Raw genomic sequence first — 23435 nt, forward strand, 5'->3', positions numbered from 1 at the left:
TACCTTAAGATATGCCCCTTCTATGTGGCTTTTGCTGAGGGTTTTAATCATAAAGGGATGCTGAATTTTGTCAAAATTTTTTGCATCTATTGAGATGATCATGTGATTTTTATTTTTAATTCTGTTTATGTGGTGTATCACATTTATTGACTTGCGTATATTAGACCATCCCTGCATCCCTGGTATAAAACTCACTTGATTTTTGCATCTGTGTTCATCAGGGATATTGCTCTGTAGTTTTTATTTTTTTAATGTCCTTTCCTGGTTTTACCATTAGGGTGATACCGGCTACACTGAATCATTTAGGATGGATTCCCTCTTTATCTTTTGGAATACTGTCAGTAGGATTAGTACCACTTCTTCTTTGAATGTATGATAGACTTCAGCTGTGAATCTGCCTGGTCCTGTACTTTTTTATTGGCCATTTTTTTAAATTACCATTTCAATCTCAATGTTTGTTATCAGTCTGTTCAGAGATTCTGTATCTTCCTGGTTTAATCTAAGGGGTTTGTATATTTCCAAAAATTTACACACCTCCTCTAGGTTTTCTAGTTTATGTGTGTAACAGTGTTCATAGTAACCTTGAATAATCTTTTGTATTTCTGTGGCATTAGTTGTAATATCCCCTGTTTCATTTCTAATTGTGCTTATTTGGATCTTCTCTCTTCTTTTCTTGGTTAATGTCACTAATGATCTATCAATTTTATTTAATTTTTCAAAGAACCAGCTTTTCATTTCACTTATCTTTTCTGGGTTTTTCTTTTTGGTTTCAATTTCATTTAGTTCTGATCTGATCTTGGTTATTTCTTTTCTTCTGCTGGGTTTGGGTTTCGATTGTTCTTGTTTCTCTAGTTTCATGAGGTGTGACCTTAGATTGTCTATTTATGTTGTTTCAAACTTTTTGATGTAGGCTTTTAATGCTAGGAACTTTCTTTTAGCACTACATTTGATGTATCCTGGAGGTTTTGATAGGTTATGTCATTATGAATTTTTAAATTTCCATCTTGATTTCATTGTTGACCCAGCAGTCATTTAGCAGCAGATTATTTAATTTCCATGTATTTGTATAGTTTTGAGGGCTTCTTTTGGAGTTGATTTCCAGCTTTATTCCACTGTGGTTTGAGAGAATACTTGATATAATTTTAATTTTTTTAAATTTATTGAGACTTGTTTTGTGGCCTGTCACATGGTCTGTCTTGGAGAATGTTCCATGTGCTGATGAATAGAATGTATATTCTGCAGTTGTTGGGTAGAATGTTCTGTAAATATTTGTTAAATCCACTTGTTCTAGGGTTTAGTTTAAGTCTACTGTTTCTTTGTTGACTTTGTATTGATGACCTGTCTAGTGCTGTCAGTGGAGTATTGATGTCCTCACTATTATTGTGTTGCCATCTGTCTCATTTCTTACGTTTGGTAATAATTGTTTTATAAATTTGGGAGCTTCAGTGTTAGGTGCATATATTTAGGATTGTGATATTTTCCTGTTGGACCAGACCTTTTATCATTGTATAACGTCCTTGTCTTTTTTAACTGTTGTTGCTTTAAAGTTTGTTTTGTCTGATACAAGAATAGCAACTCCTGCTCACTTTTGGTGTCCATTTGCATGGAATATCTTTTTCCACCATTTTACCTTAAGTTTATGTGAGTCCTTATGTGTTAGGTAAGTCTCTTGAAGACAGCAGATACTTGCTTGGTGAATTCTTATCCATTCTACCATTCTGTATCTTTTAAGTGGAATATTCAGGCCGTTTATATTCAGCATTAGTATTGAGATGTGAGGCACTATTCTATTCATCATGCTAGTTGTTGTCTGAATAATTTGTGCTTTTTTCATTATTTTATTGTTTTATAGGTTCTGTGAGATTTATGCCCTAAGGAGATTCTATGTTGGTGCATTTTGAGATATTTTTTCAAGATTTAGGACTCCTCTTAGCAGTTCTTGTAGTGCTGTCTTGATGGTGATGAATTCCTTCAGCATTTGTTTGTCTGGAAAAGGCTGTATCTTTCCTTCATTTATGAAATTTAGTTTTGCTGGATATAAAATTCTTGGCTAATAATTGTTTTGTTTAAGGAGGTTAAAGATAGGACCCCAATCCCTTCTAGCCTGTAGGGTTTCTGCTGAGAAATCTGCTGTTAATCTGATACGTTTTCCTTTATAGATTACCTGATACTTTTGCCTCACAGCTCTTAAGATTCTTTCATTTCTCTTGACTTTAGATAATCTGATGACTATGTGCCTAGGCAATGACCTTTCTGTGATAAATTTCCTGGGTGTTCTTCCAGCTTCTTGTATTTGGATGTCTACATCTCTAGCAAGGCCGGGGAAGCTTTCCTCAATTATTTCTTCAAATATATTTTCCAAATGTTTAGATTTCTATTCTTCCTTGGGAACATCAATTATTCTTAGGTTTGGTTGTAATAATCCCAAACTTCTTGGAGGCTTAGTTCATTTTTTAAAATTCTTTTTTCTTTGCTTTATGAGGTTAATTTGAAAGCCTTGTCTTTGAATTCTGAAGTTGTTTCTTCTACTTGTTCAATTCTATTGTCGAGACTTTCCAGTGTATTTTGTATTTCTCTAAGTATGTCCTTCATCTCCAGAACTTATGATTATTTTTTATTTCTGCTGTCAATTTCTCTGGTGATTTTTCTATCCATACCGTATAACATTTTAAAAATTTCTTTAAGTTCGTATTCACCTTTCTCTGGTGCCTCCTTGATTAGCTTAATAATTGATCTTCTGAATTGTTTTTCTCGCAATTCAGATATTTATTCTTGATTTGGGTCTATTGCTGTGATGTTATCCATCTTCAGGTCTCTCAGCTGTGGATACCAGCACTTGCTCCGGTCAAGGTAGCAAGGGGAGTAAAGTGGACCCTGTGAGAGTCCTTGGTTGTAGTTTTGTTTAGTGTACTGGTTTTCTCGAATGCTGGTTGTGCTGGCAGTAAAGATGTCATGTGGAAAGACTCAGGACCTCTGGGTAGCCAGGATGTTACAGGTGGTGGAATAAGCTGTCGTTTTCTCTTTTCTTGGGACAGGTTTGTTTTTTTATGAGTTGCTATAATGGTTTGTGTTGGTTGGCCTCCAGCCAGGAGGTGGCACTTTCAAGAGCACATGAGCTGCAGTAGTGTAGGGAGGATATATGCTTGCCCTAGGGTCTCCTGGATAAGTATCAGTTTTCTCAAGTGATGGGCAGGGCCACAGAGCTCCCAAGAGATTATGACTTTTTATTTTATTTTATTTTATTTTATTTTATTTTATTTTATTTTATTTTATTTTATTTTATTTTATTTTATTTTATTTTATTTGAGACAGAGTTGCACTCTGTTGCTCAGGCTGGAGTGCAGTGGTGCAATCTTGGCTCAAGGCAACCTCTGCCTCCCAGATTCAAGCAGTTCTTGTGCCTCAGCCTCCTGAGTAGATGGGATTACAGTTGTGCGCCACCACTCCCAGGTAATCTTTGTGTTTTTAGTAGAGACGGAGTTTCACCATGTTGGCCAGGCTGGTCTCTGGCTCCTGGCCTCAAGTGATCCACCTGCCTCAACCTCCCAAAGTGCTGGGATTATAAGCGTGAGCCACCATTCCCGGCCTGCTACCAGGATGAGTAGAGAAAGATCATCAGATGGAGGCAGGGTTAGGTGCAGCTGAGCTCACACTCTCCTTGGGTGGGGCTTCCTGTGGCTGCTGTAGGGTATAGAAGTGTGGTTCTCAGGCTGATGGAATTACGTTCCCAGGAAGAATATGGCTGCCTCTGATGCATCATTTAGGTTTCCAGGGACGAGCAGGGAAAGCCGGCAGTGACAGTTATCACCCAGCTCCCACGCAGCCAGCAAGGATAGTACTACTTTAGCCCACCATGCTCCCCAACAGCACCGAGTTTATATTGAGGCAGCCGGTGAGTGGGGCTGGGAACTTGCCCCAGGTTACAAGCCTCCCTGCAGAGAAGGCCAGCAGGGTTTTCAGGCCCTGCTCCTCCCAGCCATGGTTTCTGTGGTCCTTTGTGCGCCAACCCCGGATTCTGCCCTGGAAAATTCACACTCAGTCGAAATCACTGCAAAGTTCAGCTGGAAGTTTCCTTCTCCCTGTGGTCTATTCCCAAATCAGCTGGCAGCCCACCCCAAGGACCCCTGTGAGATAAAGTCAGAAATGGGTTCCCTGGGGGCTGGGAGTGCCTTCAGGGCTCTTCCCGCTGCTTCTTCTACTTTTATATTTGCTTCGCTCTCTAAATTCACCTCAGCTTTAGGCAAGGTTAAAACCTTCTCCGATGATCTGGATTTTCAGTCTTCCTGGTGAGGATGTGTGTTTGTAGGCAGACTTTCCCTCTCACACTTTGGGTACTCATAGTTTTTTGGCTGTCTCTCAGAGAATTTGCAGCAGCAAGTCACTTCTTTCAAAGGGTCTGTGAAGTTTTTCAGTTTTCCTGGTATGTTCCTGCATTAATTCTTGGAGCAAAAGTTCACGATGTGAGTCTTCACAAACTGTTCTGTCTGTCCAAGTGGGAGCTGCAAGTCAGTCCTTCCTCCCATCCGCCATCTTCTTGTCAAAACTTGCCATTGCATTTTGCATTTTCTTATGCATGTCTTTCATTTCCAGAAGTTCTGATTGGGTTTTCTTTATGATATCTCTCTAGAAAATTTTACATTCATATCCTGAATTTTTCTTTTAATTTCTTTATATTGGTTTTCACATTTCTCTGGTATCTCCTTCAGTAGCTTAGTAATCAACTTTCTGAATTCCTTATCTGGTATTTCCAAGATTTCATCTTGTTTTAGAACAACTAGGGAGCTAGTGTGATCTTTTGTGGGTGTTATAGAAACCTGTTTTGTCATATTACCAGAATTACTTTTCTGGTTTCTTCTTATTTGGGTAAACAATTTCTTCAAATAGTTCTTGAATTAATTTTGATTTGACTGTGTCTTTTTTAAATTTTGTTTTTTCCCTCCTAAGGATGTGACTTTAATGTTTATAGTTTATTATAGCCTAATTTGATTCTTGGTGCTTTTAGGGATTAAGACTATATGAGCTCCTTTGTTATAAAGAGTCTTTATATGCTGGCTTTCTCAGATGCTGGTTGTAGTAGTTATGTACTCAATGTGTGGGCAAGTTCACTGTCTCCTATGGGGTTGGAAAGGCAAGGATCTCTTGAATCTTATTCATTCCTCCATGTTGTGCACTTTATTTAATTTTTCCCCAGTATTTTATTTACTGAGTTGATGGTTTAGGATTCAGATAAGTAGGGGAGGTATCTCTGTGCAGGAACTGTTTGTAGCTAAAGCAGGTGGGTAAATGCAATAATGCCAATGGTGGGCAGAGGTTCCAGCCTTGATGAAGGTGGCTGGGGGAGCTCTCAATTAGATGCACTGAGGTTTTATCAGGTTAAAGGGTGGGGGCTACCTCAGCTGCCTTGCCAGGCCAGCAGGAAAGCTATCTACATCACAGCCTCACTCCAGTCCCAGTGTCCCAGCTCTTCAGATCAGATAGGCACCTATTTCGGTCTGTAGGAATTTTATGTTCCAAGTAGAGAGGAATTATGAATCTGCCTCTTGTGCAAGCCTGAACTTGGGGAGTGCTCCTCCTGTGAGGATGCAATCATCCTGAATTGTTTCAGGAAGGCTGTATATAGGTGCATCCATGCTGAGTTCCCACGGGAGACGCCCCAGCTGTATTTGCAGTGGTGGACAAGGGGGAAACATGGGCCTCTTCTCTAGTACCCTTCATGAGCACTAAGGCTGCTTGCCTATTGGAGTAGAGGTGCAGACTTTCCCTGATGCACTCAGCACTGCAATTGTGTCTCTGCTGTAAGAAACTTCCTACAGGTGAAGAAATCTGGGACTCAGGGTTTGCCATCCAAATTCTTTTGTCCCATGGGGTGTTCTTTTGATGTCGTACTCTTCCTCTTCCCCTAGGAATAGAAGCTCCTGAGAGCCAGACTACAGTGATTACTATTGCTCTTCTGGGTCTAGCCAACCAGTGGGGCTGCCACACTCAAAGCTTTTGCTGTGGAAATTCCTGAGAGCCAGACTAGTGATTATTACTGTTCTTCTGGGACTAGCCAACCAGTGGGGCTGCCACACTCAAGGCTGGTGCTGGGGAATGTCTGCAAGGGATCTGGTGTTGTAATTCATCTTCAAGTCTCCCAGCAGTGGGTACCAGCCCGTGTATCTTTACATTTCTGAATGCAAAATAAGGTAGTTCAAACGTACTAGGGTTATCCAGGGGTTTTTAGTTACTTGCCTTGGTTTTGAGAGCCTAGATTTGGTTTTGAGTAATCTAGAATTATAAAGTCTGTTTATAGCTTTTGCTGCTGCCACTTGAAAGAATTCCTAATTCTCAAGAGTTCTAGAACCCTTAAAGCGTGAATCATGGAGTGCTTCAGACCAAAAATGAGTTCCCAGATACTGCCTAATGCCAGATTTAACAATGAGTATTAGATTAAATAGGCTTTTGAAAATGTGGTAGTATTTTTTAAGTGTTGTGCATTGGTCGTGAAGACTGCACTGAAAAGGAAAAATGTGGGCTACTCTTGAAAGCATTCCCTCTGAGAATAGGAAAAAGACAAAGACACCCACTATCACTGCTCCTCTTCAGCATAGTACTGGAAGTCCTAGCAAAAGCAATCAGAAAAGAGAAAGAAATAAAGGGCATCCAAATCGGTAAAGAGGAAGTCAGACTGTCCCTGTTTGCTGATGATAGGATCCTTTACCTTGAAAACCCTAAGGACTCCTCCAGAAAGCTCCTAAAACTGACAAAAGAATGCAGCAAAGTTTCTGGATATAAGATTAATGTACACAAATCAGTAGCCCTTGTATACACCAACAGCGACGAAGCAAAGAATCAAATCAAGAACTCAACCCCTTTTACAATAGCTGCAAAAATAAAATAAAATAAAATACTTAGGAATATACCTAACAAAGGAGTTGAAAGACCTCCTCAAGGAAAACTACAAAACACTGCTGAAATAAATCATAAATGACACAATCAAATAGAAACACATCCCATGCTCATGGATGGGTAGAATCAGTATTGTGAAAATGACCACACTGCCAAAAGTAATCTACAAATTCAATGCAATCCCTATCAAAATATCACCATCATTCTTCACAGAGTTAGAAAAAACAATTCTAAAATCCATATGGACCAAAAAAAGAGCCTTAATAGCCAAAGCAAGACTAAGCAAAAAGAACAAATCTGGAGGCATCACACTACCTGATTTCAAACTATACTATAAGGCCATAGTCACCAAAACAGCATGGTACTGGTATAAAAATAGGCACATAGACCAATGGAACAGAATAGAGAACCCAGAAATAAACCCAAATACTTATAGCCAACTGATCTTCCACAAAGCAAACAAAAACATAAAGTGAGGAAAGGACACCCTTTTCAACAAATGGTGCTGGGATAATTGGCTACCCACATGTAGGAGAATGAAACTGGATCTTCATCCCTCACATTATACAAAAAATCAACTCAAGGTGGATTAAGGACTTAAACCTAAAACCTGAAACTATCAAAATTCTAGAAGATAACATTGGAAAAACCCCTCCAGACATTGGCTTAGGCAAGAATTTTATGACCAAACACCCCAAAGCAAATGCAATAATACCAAAGATAAATAGCTGGGACCTAACTAAACTAAAGAGCTTTTACACAGCAAAAGGAGCAGTCAGCAGAGTAAACAGACAACCCATAGAATGGTAGAAAATCTTCACAATCTATACATCTGACAAAGGTCTAATATCCAGAATCTACAACAAACTCAAACAACTCATTAAGAAAAAAAAAAAAAACAAGGGGGGAGAAGCCAAGATGGCCGAATAGGAACAGCTTCGGTCTACAGCTCTCAGCGTGAGCGACGCAGAAGACGGGTGATTTCTGCATTTCCATCTGAGGTACCAGGTTCATCTCACTAGGGAGTGCCAGACAGTGGGCGCAGGTCAGTGGGTGTGCGCACCGTGCGTGAGCCAAAGCAGGGCAAGGCATTGCCTCACTTGGGAAGCGCAAGGGGTCAGGGAGTTCCCTTTCTGAGTCAAAGAAAGGGGTGACGGACGCACCTGGAAAATCGGGTCACTCCCACCCAAATACTGCGCTTTTCTGACCAGCTTAAAAAAGGCGCACCACGTGATTATATCCTGCACCTGGCTCGGAGGGTCCTACGCCCACAGAGTCTTGCTGATTGCTAGCACAGCAGTCTGAGATCAAACTGCAAGGCAGCAGTGAGGCTGGGGGAGGGGCGCCCAACATTGCTGAGGGTCCTGTCTGTTAGAAGGAAAACTAACAAACAGAAAGGACATCCACACCAAAAACCCATCTGTACATCACCATCATCAAAGACCAAAAGTAGATAAAACCACAAAGATGGGGAAAAAACAGAACAGAAAAACTGGAAACTCTAAAACGCAGAGCGCCTCTCCTCCTCCAAAGGAATGCAGTTCCTCACCAGCAATGGAACAAAGCTGGATGGAGAATGACTTTGACCAGCTGAGAGAAGAAGGCTTCAGACGATCAAATTACTCTGAGCTACAGGAGGACATTCAAACCAAAGGCAAAGAAGTTGAAAACTTTGAAAAAAATTTAGACGAATGTATAACTAGAATAACCAATACAGAGAAGTGCTTAAAGGAGCTGATGGAGCTGAAAACCAAGGCTCAAGAACTACGTGAAGAATGCAGAAGCCTCAGGAGCCAATGCGATCAACTGGAAGAAAGGGTATCAGCCATGGAAGATGAAATGAATGAAATGAAGTGAGAAGGGAAGTTTAGAGAAAAAAGAATAAAAAGAAATGAGCAAAGCCTCCAAGAAATATGGGACTATGTGGAAAGACCAAATCTACATCTGATTGGTGTACCTGAAAGTGATGGGGAGAATGGAACCAAGTTGGAAAACACTCTGCAGGATATTATCCAGGAGAACTTCCCCAATCTAGCAAGGCAGGCCAACGTTCAGATACAGGAAATACAGAGAACGCCACAAAGATACTCCTCGAGAAGAGCAACTCCAAGACACATAATTGTCAGATTCACCAAAGTTGAAATGAAGGAAAAAATGTTAAGGGCAGCCAGAGAGAAAGGTCGGGTTACCCTCAAAGGGAAGCCCATAAGACTAACAGCGGATCTCTCCGCAGAAACTCTACAAGCCAGAAGAGAGTGGGGGCCAATATTCAACATTCTTAAAGAAAAGAATTTTCAACCCAGAATTTCATATCCAGCCAAACTAAGCTTCATAAGTGAAGGAGAAATAAAATACTTTACAGACAAGCAAATGCTGAAAGATTTTGTCACCACTAGGCCTGCCCTAAAAGAGCTCCTGAAGGAAACGCTAAACATGGAAAGGAACAACCAGTACCAGCCATTGCAAAATCATGCCAAAATGTAAAGACCATTGAGACTAGGAAGAAACTGCATCAACTAACGAGCAAAATAACCAGCTAACATCATAATGAGAGGATCAAATTCACACATAACAATATTAACTTTAAATGTAAATGGACTAAATGCTCCAATTAAAAGACACAGACTGGCAAATTGGATAAAGAGTCAAGACCCATCAGTGTGCTGTATTCAGGAAACCCATCTCACGTGCAGAGACACACATAGACTCAAAATAAAAGGATGGAGGAAGATCTACCAAGCAAATGGAAAACAAAAAAAGGGAGGGGTTGCAATCCTAGTCTCTCATAAAACAGACTTTAAACCAACAAAGATCAAAAGAGACAAAGAAGGCCATTACATAATGGTAAAGAGATCAATTCAACAAGAAGAGCTAACTATCCTAAATATATATGCACCCAATACAGGAGCACCCAGATTCATAAAGCAAGTCCTGAGTGACCTACAAAGAGACTTAGACTCCCACACATTAATAATGGGAGACTTTAACACCCCACTGTCAACATTAGACAGATCAACGAGACAGAAAGTCAACAAGGATACCCAGGAATTGAACTCAGCTCTGCACCAAGCAGACCTAATAGACATCTACAGAACTCTCCACCCCAAATCAACAGAATATACATTTTTTTCAGCACCACAACACACCTATTCCAAAATTGACCACATACTTGGAAGTAAAGCTCTCCTCAGCAAATGTAAAAGAACAGAAATTATAACAAACTGTCTCTCAGACCACAGTGCAATCAAACTAGAACTCAGGATTAAGAATCTCACTCAAAACCGCTCAACTACATGGAAACTGAACAATCTGCTCCTAAATGACTACTGGGTACATAACGAAATGAAGGCAGAAATAAAGATGTTTTTTGAAACCAATGAGAACAAAGACACAACATACCAGAATCTCTGGGATGCATTCAAAGTGGTGGTAGAGGGAAATTTATAGCACTAAATGCCCACAAGAGAAAGCCGGAAAGATCCAAAATTGACACCCTAACATCACAATTAAAAGAACTAGAAAAGCAAGAGCAAACACATTCAAAAGCTAGCAGAAGGCAAGAAATAACTAAAATCAGAGCAGAACTGAAGGAAATAGAGATGCAAAAAACCCTTCAAAAAATCAGTAAATCCAGGAGCTGGTTTTTTGAAAGGATCAACAAAATCGATAGACCGCTAGCAAGACTAATGAAGAAAAAAAGAGAGAAGAATCAAATAGAAGCAATAAAAAATGATAAAGGGGGTATCACCACCGATCCCACAGAAATACAAACTACCATCAGAGAATACTACAAACACCTCTATGCAAATAAACTAGAAAATCTAGAAGAAATGGATAAATTCCTCAACACATACACTCTCCCAAGACTAAACCAGGAAGAAGTTGAATCTCTGAATAGACCAATAACAGGATCTGAAATTGTGGCAATAATCAATAGCTTACCAACCAAAAAGAGTCCAGGACCAGATGGATTCACAGCCGAATTCTACCAGAGGTACAAGGAGGAACTGGTGCCATTCCTTCTGAAACTATTCCAATCAATAGAAAAAGAGGGAATCCTCCCTAACTCATTTTATGAGGCCAGCATCATTCTGATACCAAAGCCGGGCAGCGACACAACCAAAAAAGAGAATGTTAGACCAATATCCCTGATGAACATTGATGCAAAAATCCTCAATAAAATACTGGCAAAACGAATCCAGCAGCACATCAAAAAGCTTATCCACCATGATCAAGTGGGCTTCATCCCTGGGATGCAAGGCTGGTTCAATATACACAAATCAATAAATGTAATCCAGCATATAAACAGAGCCAAAGACAAAAACCACATGATTATCTCAATAGATGCAGAAAAAGCCTTTGACAAAATTCAACAACCCTTCATGCTAAAAACTCTCAATAAATTAGGTATTGATGGGACGTATCTCAAAATAATAAGAGCTATCTATGACAAACCCACAGCCAATATCATACTGAATGGGCAAAAACTGGAAGCATTCACTTTGAAAACTGGCACAAGACAGGGATGCCCTCTCTCACCACTCCTATTCAACATAGTGTTGGAAGTTCTGGCCAGGGCAATTAGGCAGGAGAAGGAAATAAAGGGTATTCAATTAGGAAAAGAGGAAGTCAAATTGTCCCTGTTTGCAGACGACATGATTGTATAACTAGAAAACCCCATTGTCTCAGCCCAAAATCTCCTTCAGCTGATAAGCAACGTTAGCAAAGTCTCAGGATACAAAATCAATATACCAAAATCACAAGCATTCTTATACACCAACAACAGACAAACAGAGAGCCAAATCATGAGTGAACTTCCATTCACAATTGCTTCAAAGAGAATAAAATACCTAGGAATCCAACTTACAAGGGATGTGAAGGACCTCTTCAAGGAGAACTACAAACCACTGCTCAAGGAAATAAAAGAGGATACAAACAAATGGAAGAACATTCCATGCTCATGGGTAGGAAGACTCAATATCGTGAAAATGGCCATACTGCCCAAGGTAATTTACAGACTCAATGCCATCCCCATCAAGCTACCAATGCCTTTCTTCACAGAATTGGAAAAAACTACTTTAAAGTTCATATGGAACCAAAAAAGAGCCCGCATCGCCAAGTCAATCCTAAGCCAAAAGAACAAAGCTGGAGGCATCACGCTACCTGACTTCAAACTATACTACAAGGCTACAGTAACCAAAACAGCATGGTACTGGTACCAAAACAGAGATATAGATCAATGGAACAGAACAGAGCCCTCAGAAATAATGCTGCATATCTACAACTATCTGATCTTTGACAAACCTGAGAAAAACAAGCAATGGGGAAAGGATTCCCTATTTAATAAATGTTGCTGGGAAAACTGGCTAGACATATGTAGAAAGCTGAAACTGGATCCCTTCCTTACACCTTATACAAAAATCAATTCAAGGTGGATTAAAGACTTAAACGTTAGACCTAAAACCATAAAAACCCTAGAAGAAAATCTAGGCATTACCATTCAGGACATAGGCATGGGCAAGGACTTCATGTCTAAAACACCAAAAGCAATGGCATCAAAAGCCAAAATTCACAAATGGGATCTAATTAAACTAAAGAGCTTCTGCACAGCAAAAGAAACTACCATCAGAGTGAACAGGCAACCTACAAAATGGGAGAAGATTTTCACAACCTACTCATCTGACAAAGGGCTAATATCCAGAATCTACAATGAACTCAAACAAATTTACAAGAAAAAAACCCATCAAAAAGTGGGTGAAGGATATGAACAGACACTTCTCAAAAGAAGACATTTATGCAGCCAAAAAACACATGAAAAAATGCTTGTCACCACTGGCCATCAGAGAAATGCAAATCAAAACCACAATGAGATACCATCTCACACCAGTTAGAATGGCAATCATTAAAAAGTCAGGAAACAACAGGTGCTGGAGAGGATGTGGAGAAGTAGGAACACTTTTACACTGTTGGTGGGACTGTAAACTAGTTCAACCATTGTGGAAGTCAGTGTGGAGATTCCTCAGGGATCTAGAACTAGAAATACCATTTGACCCAGCCATCCCACTACTGGGTATATACCCAAAGGACTATAAATCATGCTGCTATAAAGACACATGCACACATATGTTTATTGCAGCATTATTCACAATAGCAAAGACTTGGAACCAACCCAAATGTCCAACAATGATAGACTGGATTAAGAAAATGTGGCACATATACACCATGGAATACTATGCAGCCATAAAAAATGATGAGTTCATGTCCTTTGTAGGGACATGGATGAAATTGGAAACCATCATTCTCAGTAAACTATCGCAAGAACAAAAAACCAAACACCGCATATTCTCACTCATAGGTGGGAATTGAACAATGAGATCACATGGACACAGGAAGGGGAATATCACACTCTGGGGACTGTGGTGGGGTGGGGGGAGGGGGGAGGGATAGCACTGGGAGATATACCTAATGCTAGATGACGAGTTAGTGGGTGCAGCACACCAGCATGGCACATGTATACGTATGTAACTAACCTGCACAATGTGTACATGTACCCTAAAACTTAAAGTATAATAAAAAATAAATAAAATAAATAAATAAATAAAATAAAAAAAAACAAAACAATCCCATCAAAAAGTGGGCTAAGGACATTAATAGACAATTCTCAAAAGATTTATAAACGGCCAACAAACACATGAAAAAAATGCTTAACATCACTAATGATCAGGGATATGCAAATCAAAACCACAATGAGATACCACCTTACTTTTGCAAGAATGGCCAAAATCAAAAAATCAAAAGACAGTAGATGTTGGCATGGATGTAGCAATCGGGGAACACTGCTACACTGCTGGTAGGAATGTAAACTAGTACAGCAGCTATGGAAAACAGTGTGGAGATTCTGCAAATAACTAAAAGTAGAACTATCATTTGACCCAGCAATCCCACTACTGGGTATCTACCCAGAGGAAAAGAAGTCATTATTTAAAGTAGATACTTGCACACGCATGTTTATAGCAGCACAATTCACAATAGCAAAATCGTGGAACCAACCCAAATGCCCATTAAGCAATGAGTGGATAAAGAAACTGTGGTATATCTATACAATGGAATACTAAGCCATAAAAAGGAATGAATTAACAGCATTTGCAATGACCTGGATGAGATTGTAGACTATTATTCTAAGTGCAGTAACTCAGGAATGGAAAACCAAACATCGTATGTTCTCACTGATATGTGAGAGCTAAGCTATGAAGACGCAAAGGCATAAGAATGATACAATGGACTTTGGGGACTTGGGGGGAAAGATGGGAGGGAGGCAAGGGATAAAAGACAACATATATGGTGCAGTATATACTGCTCGGGTGATGCGTGCACCAGGATCTCACAAATCACCACTAAAGAACTTACTCATGTAACCAAATACCACCTGTACACCCAATAATTTATGGAAAAATGAAATAATAAAAATAAAAATATTGTCATAAAAAAAGAATGTGGGCTATTCTTAATGAAAATATGCATAAGCATACCATCAGTGTGTTGAATCTGGAATACAGGGTTGCCTTACTTGATTATATACTCCTGGCTCCTTAAAAACTTAAACTTTCAGCCGGGCGCGGTGGCTCATGCCTGTAATCCCAGCACTTTGGGAGGCCAAGGGGGCGGATCACGAGGTCAGGAGATTGAGACCATCCTGGCTAACATGGTGAAACCCCCTCTCTACTAAAAATACAAAAAATTAGCCAGGCGTGGTGGCGGGCGCCTGTAGTCCCAGCTACTCGGGAGGCTGAGGGAGGAGAATGGCATGAACCCAGGAGGCGGAGCTTGCAGTGAGCCGAGATCGCACCACTGGACTCCAGCCTGGGCGACAGAGCAAGACTGTCTCAAAAAAAAACAAAAAAACAAAAAACAAAAAACTTAAACTTTCCAACATGTCAGCTAAGCAACAGATGTTCCTTGGAACTAATATGAAGGAAGTGAACATTATAAATGTCCTCAACATACTGAGATCTTGCATGGAGGTCTAAGTCATTTGCTTTTTTTGAGAGAGAGAGTTTCGCTCTTGTTGCCCAGGCTGAAGTGCAATGGTGCGATCTCAGCTCACCGCAACCTCCACATCCTGGGTTCAAGCAATTCTCCTGCCTCAGCCTCCCTAGTAGCTGGGATTACAGGCATGTGCCACCACACCCAGCTAATTTTGTATTTTTAGTAGAGACAGGGTTTTTCCACATTGGTCAGGTTGGTCTCAAACTCCTGACCTCAGGTGATCCACCAGCCTCAGCTTCCCAAAGTGCTGGGATTACAGGTGTGAGCAACCGCGTCCAGCCATCATTTGCTTATTTTGCACAAAAATTTTATTTAAAATGTACACTACTGAAGGTCAAAAACTATTGTACTAGGGATGTAAGAAGATTTAATTAAAATTCTGGCTCACTTTTTCTTCTACATTAAATTGTTAGTTGCCTCTATTGTTTTCTACCTTAGTATTGCATCCATGATTGCAATGGATAAAAGATAAATTGTTCTGCTTTAATGGGTTGAAATTACTGCAGAAGGATTTGATAGTGTTTTCCTTCGTTTTTGTAACTGAAACAGATTTGCAGTAAATATACACTGTTAACAATTTGAATAAAATGTTTTTCATTATCTGAGAGCAATTTCCATGGAACAGAGTTGAGCCTGCACCGTTCTGATTTTGTGGGCAAAGTATTTGATTAAAGCTGACTAGCTTAGTGTGACTACCCTTTAGAACAATGAAATATTCTATGAAAAATCCACTTACTTAAGACTACCAGTGAGCTAACTGGAGTCTATTGTACAGTTTTTTGACTGAGGAGATGCCTCTTTCTGTGTGACAAGCAAAACAGGGAAGCAAAAATAAACTTCATGAGCTAAAAGTTGGCCAGATGAGACTGAGGTTACCTTGGTCAGAAATTGGGCGGTCACAAGTAAGAGAAACCACTTAATGTTACTTAAATATAAATGAGATACTAACTGCTAATAAGCAAGATGCCTTTCAAAACAGGGACTATAACCATCCTCACATGAGGCTGGAACAAGAACTGGAAAGAATATGGAAACGAGGCAGCATATTTGCTTGTCAGCTTGGCTCCACATTGATCCTTGGATTTACATGGTCTCTTATATTTTTTTTCTTTTCCTATATTCATTTTTATCTCTCCAAAGGCCAGCTTTCTCTGGCCATTTCCACATGGACCCGATACAGCCACCTGACAAGAAATAATGGAGCCAGTTCCTGGAGTCCTTTGTGCTGTGGTTTCAGATTTCCAGGAATTGGAAGTCTATTTAATTATCTTTGGACCTGATGGCATAGTTCTGTCCTTCAGGATCCCTGTAATTCTGAGTAAGTCCCAGAACTCCAGGGAGCAGAATAGCTCTGAGGGCTGGGTCCCAAGGAATTGGCACGGTTTGGTTAGAAAAAAAATCTTGGGAAAATTGGGAGGTCAGCATATATTCTTGGTTTCTCCCTTTGTTTCCATTTGGAGACCATTTTCTCATTTGGGGGCATCTGCTGACTCAGGCTGCCCAGAGCTTCCTCCTCTGATCCCCACCTTCTCTATGTGTCAGCAGTGGAACTTTCTGCAGACTTATTTCAACTGTATTTATTGTTATTTGCACCTTCCTAGCCTCTTATTTATTCACCTATATTCTAAATGACATGATCTTACAAACATGGAACCTTTCGCAGTCAACAAACAGTACCTGTTTTCAAAAGGCCTTTAAATAGTGACTCCGGTAATGAGAATGCAAGACACAAGCAGGAGGCATTTGTCAAAAGGTTCCTTCTGAGATAGCCAGGTATAATATAAAGTACAAATCAGAGAGATTTGGATTTAAAGCCCAGCTCCACTACTTTTAGTTGTGAGAACTTAAAGACCTGCTTGGCACATCTGCTCCTGAATTTCCAATTGTCTCTCAGCTCTACTTACTCCATAGAGTTGTTGTGTGGAATAAACGAGGTAAAGTAAACACATAAATATGTAAAATGGTCAAAGTTGGTAGGATATCAACAAATAATAATCCCTCAATCCACTGTCCTCCCATGCCCTGCACTCAACTCTCTTTACAAGGACCGTCACCTTAGAGTAAGTCCCACACAATGGGGACACCTTTAAAAAATACCACTGCCTCCTCTCTCCAGGGCAAATATTTCTCACTCATTTATGCACAGATTGGAGTATTAGAGACAGGATGTCACACTCTTCCAATAAAAGGTATAGCTGGTTAAAATTTCCCAGACAACAAAAGGATTCCAAGACAAAGAGGCACTTTGGATCTAAAAGGTATCTACTGGCATTAGGAACAAGGAAAAACTGAAGAATCATGTCCAATGGCATTATCTTTTAATCATGGAAGACTCTTTTTATTCTTTCTAGCTATATAAACACGTTAGTCACGCACCCAAACATGACCATAATCATAACGACAATGATCATAACAACCGCTACATTTTCACCATTAATTCTGTATTTACAGTGTCAAGTATTTCACATGTCTCACTCAAAAACTCTTGGAATCATGATAGCATTTTACAGATAAGGAAATTAAGACTCAGAGCTGTCCAGTAAAAGCCTAGGGTACAAGATTGTATTAAAAGATATAGAGATTTACTCTCAGCCCTTTTTCATACTGCTATAAAGAACTGCCCAAGACTGGGCCATTTATAGAGGAAAAGGTTTAATTGACTCACATTTCAGCATGGCTGGGGAGGCCTCAGGAAACTTACAATCACGGCAGAAGGCAAAGAGGAAGCAAGGCACCTTCTTCCCAAGGCGGCAAGAAGGCGAAGTGCTGAGCGAAGCAGGAAGAGCCCTTTATAGAACCATCAGATCTCATGAGAACTCAGTCACCAGCACGAGAACAGCAGAAAACTGCTTCAATTATTCAATTACCTCCACCTGCTCTCTCCCTTGATGCATGGGGATTATGGGGATTATGGGATTACAATTCAAGACGAAATTTGGGTGGGGACACAAAGCCTAAGCATATCAGATTCCAACTCCAAAAATGATGCTTCTAACCACTGGCAATATGTCATGCTATGCTATACTACTTCCTATGCTGCTTTCTTTGTCCCTCTTTCCTATCAAATTCTCACATAGCTACCTGGAGTTTCTAACTTCTCATAAACCCTATCTGTCAGCGGTTCTATGCAAAACCTTCAGACCCACAGGTAAGATCCAAGCCTCATCCATCTCCCAGGTCTAGGACCTTGCTATTCAAAGTGTGATGCTTGAATCAGCAGCATCACCTGAGAGTTTGTTAGAAATGCAGAATCTCACCCCAGGCCTCCTGAATACGAACTGACATTTTAAAAAGTCTTCCTGGTGGTTTCTAACCATATTAAAGCTTGAGAAACAGTAATCTGGGATATGAACCACACTGGATACAGATTATCTTAATTGCTTGGGTATTTTTCAGTGTATTAATCTCCTTTCTGCGTTAGTCATAATACTTGATCCCTGTGAACAATCTCCACTTTGTAGCTTTTCACATTCCTTTCCTTTCCTCACTTTAGTCAGTAGCAGATTCATCTCTCTTGGAGAATTTGGTAGTTGGGAAATAATTAGATTTTGGGGGAGTCCCTTGCCTCATCCTAAATATAAGTTACTGTTCAGGACCTCACTTTAGAAGTCAGGCTCTCTGACTGGCAAATCCCTTGTCACTCAAAGCATAAGGGCGGTTTTTCTTCATTTGCTGAAGATGTCAGCTGCTCTGCACTTTCTCTGAAAGAAGCCCCTTCTTGTGACTTATTACTAAAAGTGTTTTTTATTTTGTTTTGTTTTGTTTTTGTTTTTTTAGAGCAAAGCAAACCACAGAAGGGGAACTCATTTAAAGAAAGAAGGTAGTAACCAAGATGCACGGGGCCTTTAACTTTGGAAAAATAAGGATTTCAAGTAATTCTTTACTATGATGCTTTTAAGTTGATTAAAGTTGGTGCAAATAGAAGGTCAAGCGTCCATGGAGCTGGTTAATCAATTATAATAGATTACACTTGCGTCTTTAAAAAATTCTATGATTTAAAGATGTTGCCAATAGTGAGCAGAATAGGGGAGCTTCCCAGAGCCCACTCCATCTTTCTTCCTTTCATCGCAGCCCTGATTAGAAGGCCCCAGAAAAGATGTTGAGTTAGGATTGCTAGCCCGTGACGGCCTGGGAGAGTAAAGGAGGGCTGCTGAGAGTAGTGCTTACTGAGAAGGCTAGAAATGTGCAGAGGGGAATCCTGCATGATTCGACTAATTGCCTCTCAGTATTTCACAGGGCGCTGGACTGCTAAAAGAATGGTTCTCTGGAAAGGGATATCCTCTGGGAAAGATAAAATATAATATAGGGTTGCAAGAGGATGTACTCATTATGTGTGGTAAGAATCTTGATTACAAAACTAATACATCCTCATTACAGAGAATTGGGAAATACAAAAAAGGTCCATAGAGGGAAATAAGAATTGCACATAATCCCACTAGCCAGAATAATTATTTTATATTCGATATTTTCCTTCAGATATACACATTTTTAAAATTCATGATAATTAGTAAATACTGTTAAAGGCAGATGGTAATGACTGCACCATATAAATGTAACCAATGTTGCTTATGTGAGATTATTACGTTGATCATTTGGCTATTTCTAATTTCTAGCTATTAAAAGTAACTCTGTTATGAATATTATTTAACATAAATCTTTGACTATGATTATTTCCTTAGGGTAAACTTCTAGAAGTGAGATTACGGAGTGAGAGGTATGATTATTTTTAATGTTTCCAACTATATATATATGTGTGTGTGTGTGTGTGTGTGTGTGTGTGTGTGTGTGTGTATGTATATATGTGTGTGTGTCTCTGTGTGTGTGTATAGCTAACTGCTCTTTGGAAAGATTACTTTAAATTTTGGTCTCCAACAGCTGAGTTTGTTATTATCCATTGCAGCCTTATTAAATAGTATTTTTTCAGTTATAAATAATGATGATGATTAAAAAAACAAATAAACAAAAACCGAGTCAACCTGCCCTAAACAGAAAGGGGACTTACTGGTTTATGTAACTGGAGGGTTACAGCTTCGTTGGTATCCTCTTTAGATTAGTTTTATCCTCAGTCTCATTTCTCTGTGGTTATCAGATGGTTGCCAGTGTTGAACTTATTTTATACCTAGAAGGAGAAAAGATTCATTCCAAAAGCACTGATATAAGGTATTCAAATTGGCCAGGTTAAGTTAGGATAGAACATTGGGATTAAGAAGATCCTGTTACCTTGATGAGAATTAGCACTCAGGGAGCATTCTAGGGGCAGAGTGAGGGCCAAACCTACCCTTGCCATACTGTTGCTCACAGCAGCAAAGGTATATAATTGATGTTCACAAGACAACCACTATGTCCTTTACATCCTATCAAATATTGTTAGCTTTAAAACTTTACCAACGTAATAGGCAGAAATGCTATTCTACTGTAGTTTCATTTTGTATTTCATTGGTTACTATTGAGGTTTAATATATTTTTAAAATATGTATTGGTCATTTGCATATCTTCCTCAGCAAACTGATTCTTCAGGCCCTTTCCCCAATGAAATTCATTCTAAGTTATATTTAGGAGCTTAAACATGTAGAAAAGAGATTCTCAGCCTGGCTGAACATTAAACCAATTTAGGGAGTTTCAAAAAACATGATATCATGACCTCACCTCCAAAGTTTTTCATTTAATGCATGCAGAGTATGTTTTAAAATCTCCCTGGAGATTTGAGGAATGTTAGCTTTCTGAAACACCCTTCCTCAAATTTACTTATATTTCTTTCACATTGCACATAAACTTTGCTTATTTTACAAATCACTCTGGAATCCTACAAGATATCATAAATAGCTCTAGTAAATGAGGCACTTATTCAAATCCTAGATAAAACAGAATGAGATGAATATTCATGACCATTTAGCATGAACTAAGTCAAGCAATCAGCAGCTTCTCTGGCAGGGTCAATGTGGCAGTACTTAAATTCACCAGAATTGTCATTGGCGGGTTCCTTTCTGATTAAGGGGAAAAGGCAAAGATGTCCCTAAGAAACCCAATCCAGGGAAAGTATATTTGTAAACAGGGAGCTTCACAGGAACATGTTCTTGTTGAGAAACAGAAAAATATTTACTTCTACTTTGGTTGTTTATGGCATTGTAGCTGTGCTACAGAAACAAATGGTGCTATGCTTGGTTTATTCCCACTCCTAAAGAGCCCAAGGAAATGTAAGCAGACCTTTCCTTTAACAAATGACAGTGCTTCTATTAAGCAGCTATTCTGCATGCATCTGCCTTCTCCATGTTTGGGGACTAACAGAGTACTTGTTATTCCCAGGATGTGTTAAGTCAATGAAATCAAATAAGAAACTGTTCCTTCCAACACTGCACTGACAAATTGGTTGGATTTTTCTTTTTTAAATCAGAAACACCTCACTGCTTTGAATCATCAATGAGGAGAAATTGCTTCATAAATATTTCTTTTCTTGGCCATAACTAAGATGTGCTTCCTCTTTTAGTGTTCAGGAGGGCTACTAACGACTTCCTTTGACGACTAAGAGGAAAGGTAGCATTCCAACTCAGCAGTTTCTGCCGTCACCTCTAAGTGTTTTATTTGATAACTCATCATGTATACTTGGCATCTTACTTTACACATATGTCATTAATTGATCATCTTTTATTATATCCCTCAGTCTTCTTGTTGATATATCCATAAACTGTTTGATAACTTTTATTTATCAAATAATTACAATATTTAGCATTTTAACCAAACACATAAGCACCATCTGGCAAAATAATTGCAACTATTACTAGACAGAACCAGTGCTGAGGGATGGTTTGGTACCTTCAGGAAAAATAAGGCAAGCGTATTTTAGAGGCAGATGAGATAAGTACAGGGCATTAGGAAAGCTCTCCCCTAAAAGACAGAACCTTGTGCTTTATGTATTTTAACTTATACTTTTATTCTTCCTTGTCCAAAAGGTATAATGGAAATGTCTAGAGGACTTCATTATTCTAGAAGCCTAATTTGACCTACCAAGTCTATAGAAAATGGAATCAGTGATAGAAAGGAAATATATTTTTTGTCTCTTTGAGAGTTAATAATATAAAAATGCAGATTTTAAAAAAGTATAATCAGTCCCCAAGGAGGTTGAGCCTATCTTCACAATTTGCAAATCCAGCAAAGTGCAGCAAACTGTGAAGTTTAGCAATGAGGGAACAATCCCAACCTTCAAAGAGGCAGCGTAGTTTATTACTGTCTGAAAATTTAAATGTCAAACCACTGAGAAAGATGTGGTTGAGATTTTTCTTCTCTAGTAGACAAAAGAAAAAGTAGGCAGTAGCCTTGGTGATAGTCAACACTGTTTTTTTTCTTCTTGAAGTAGAAGGCAAAAATAAACAACTTTCTAGAGCAGGCTACTACAACTATGACCCAAAAGAGAAAAGGTGGCCCCTCAAGCTGTTAATGGAATCCCTTCTGTTCCTGCCATGTCTTCCTAGGGAGATGCCTCCCCCTTTGCCTATGTGCCCCATCCTCTTTTAGGTAGAGGAATACCACTGAAAGAGCAAGGCCTTATGAACCAAAGAAAACTTTGTACAAATTTCCATCACATGTATGAAATGAGGATCATAGCTAACAGCACTGTATTGTATTTGAGAAATTTTAAGTACTATTGACACAAAAAAAGGTAGGGGTTAACTATGTGAGATGATACATATGTTAATTTGCTTGACCATAGTAACCATTTCACCATATATGTATTTAAAAACATTATGTTGTAGCTGGGTGTGGTGGCTCATGCCTGTAATCCCAGCACTTTGGGAGGCCAAGGTGGGCAGATCACGAGGTCAGGAGATCGAGACCATCCTGGCTAACACGGTGAAACCCTGTCTCTACTAAAAATACAAAAAATTAGCCAGGTGTGGTGGCAGGCGCCTGTAGTCCCAGCTACTCAGGAGGCTGAGGCAGGAGAATGGCATGAACCCGGGAGGCGGAGCTTGCCGTGAGCCGAGATCACGCCACAGCACTCCATCCTGGGCGATAGAGCGAGACTCCATCTCAAACAAACAAATGAACAAAAAATTACGTTGCACACCTTAAATATATATAATAAAACTCCATCACAAACATACTATGTGACTTTGAGCTAGTTATTGATATTTTAAAACTTCGTTTTCTCAGTAGCAAAATGGGCATAAATAAACGTAGGGGCTCAAAGAATATAAAGAGGAGAAGAAAAGAGGAAAGTGAAGTAGACAGAGAAAGAGTGAGGGGCAAGGAGAGAGGAGAAAGAGAGAATAGGGTAGGGAGAAAGGAAAAGAAGAAAGGAGGATGGGCAGAAGGGAGGCAGATGGATGTTATCTTTAGGATCAAATGAAATCGTTTCTAAACCAACCTTAGTTCCCCATCTGTTCCTTTTTCCTTTGCTTCTCCCAGCCCCTCTTCCTGTATCGTCTCCTCAGGAAATTGACAACACCCAGTCACAGCCCTCCACACAGGAAGGCCCTGCCAGCTCCAGGACTGCTGATGGGTGT

The sequence above is a fragment of the Homo sapiens genome, chromosome 11 (assembly GCF_000001405.40).
Source record: "Homo sapiens chromosome 11, GRCh38.p14 Primary Assembly".
NCBI classification, from domain to species: domain Eukaryota; kingdom Metazoa; phylum Chordata; class Mammalia; order Primates; family Hominidae; genus Homo; species Homo sapiens.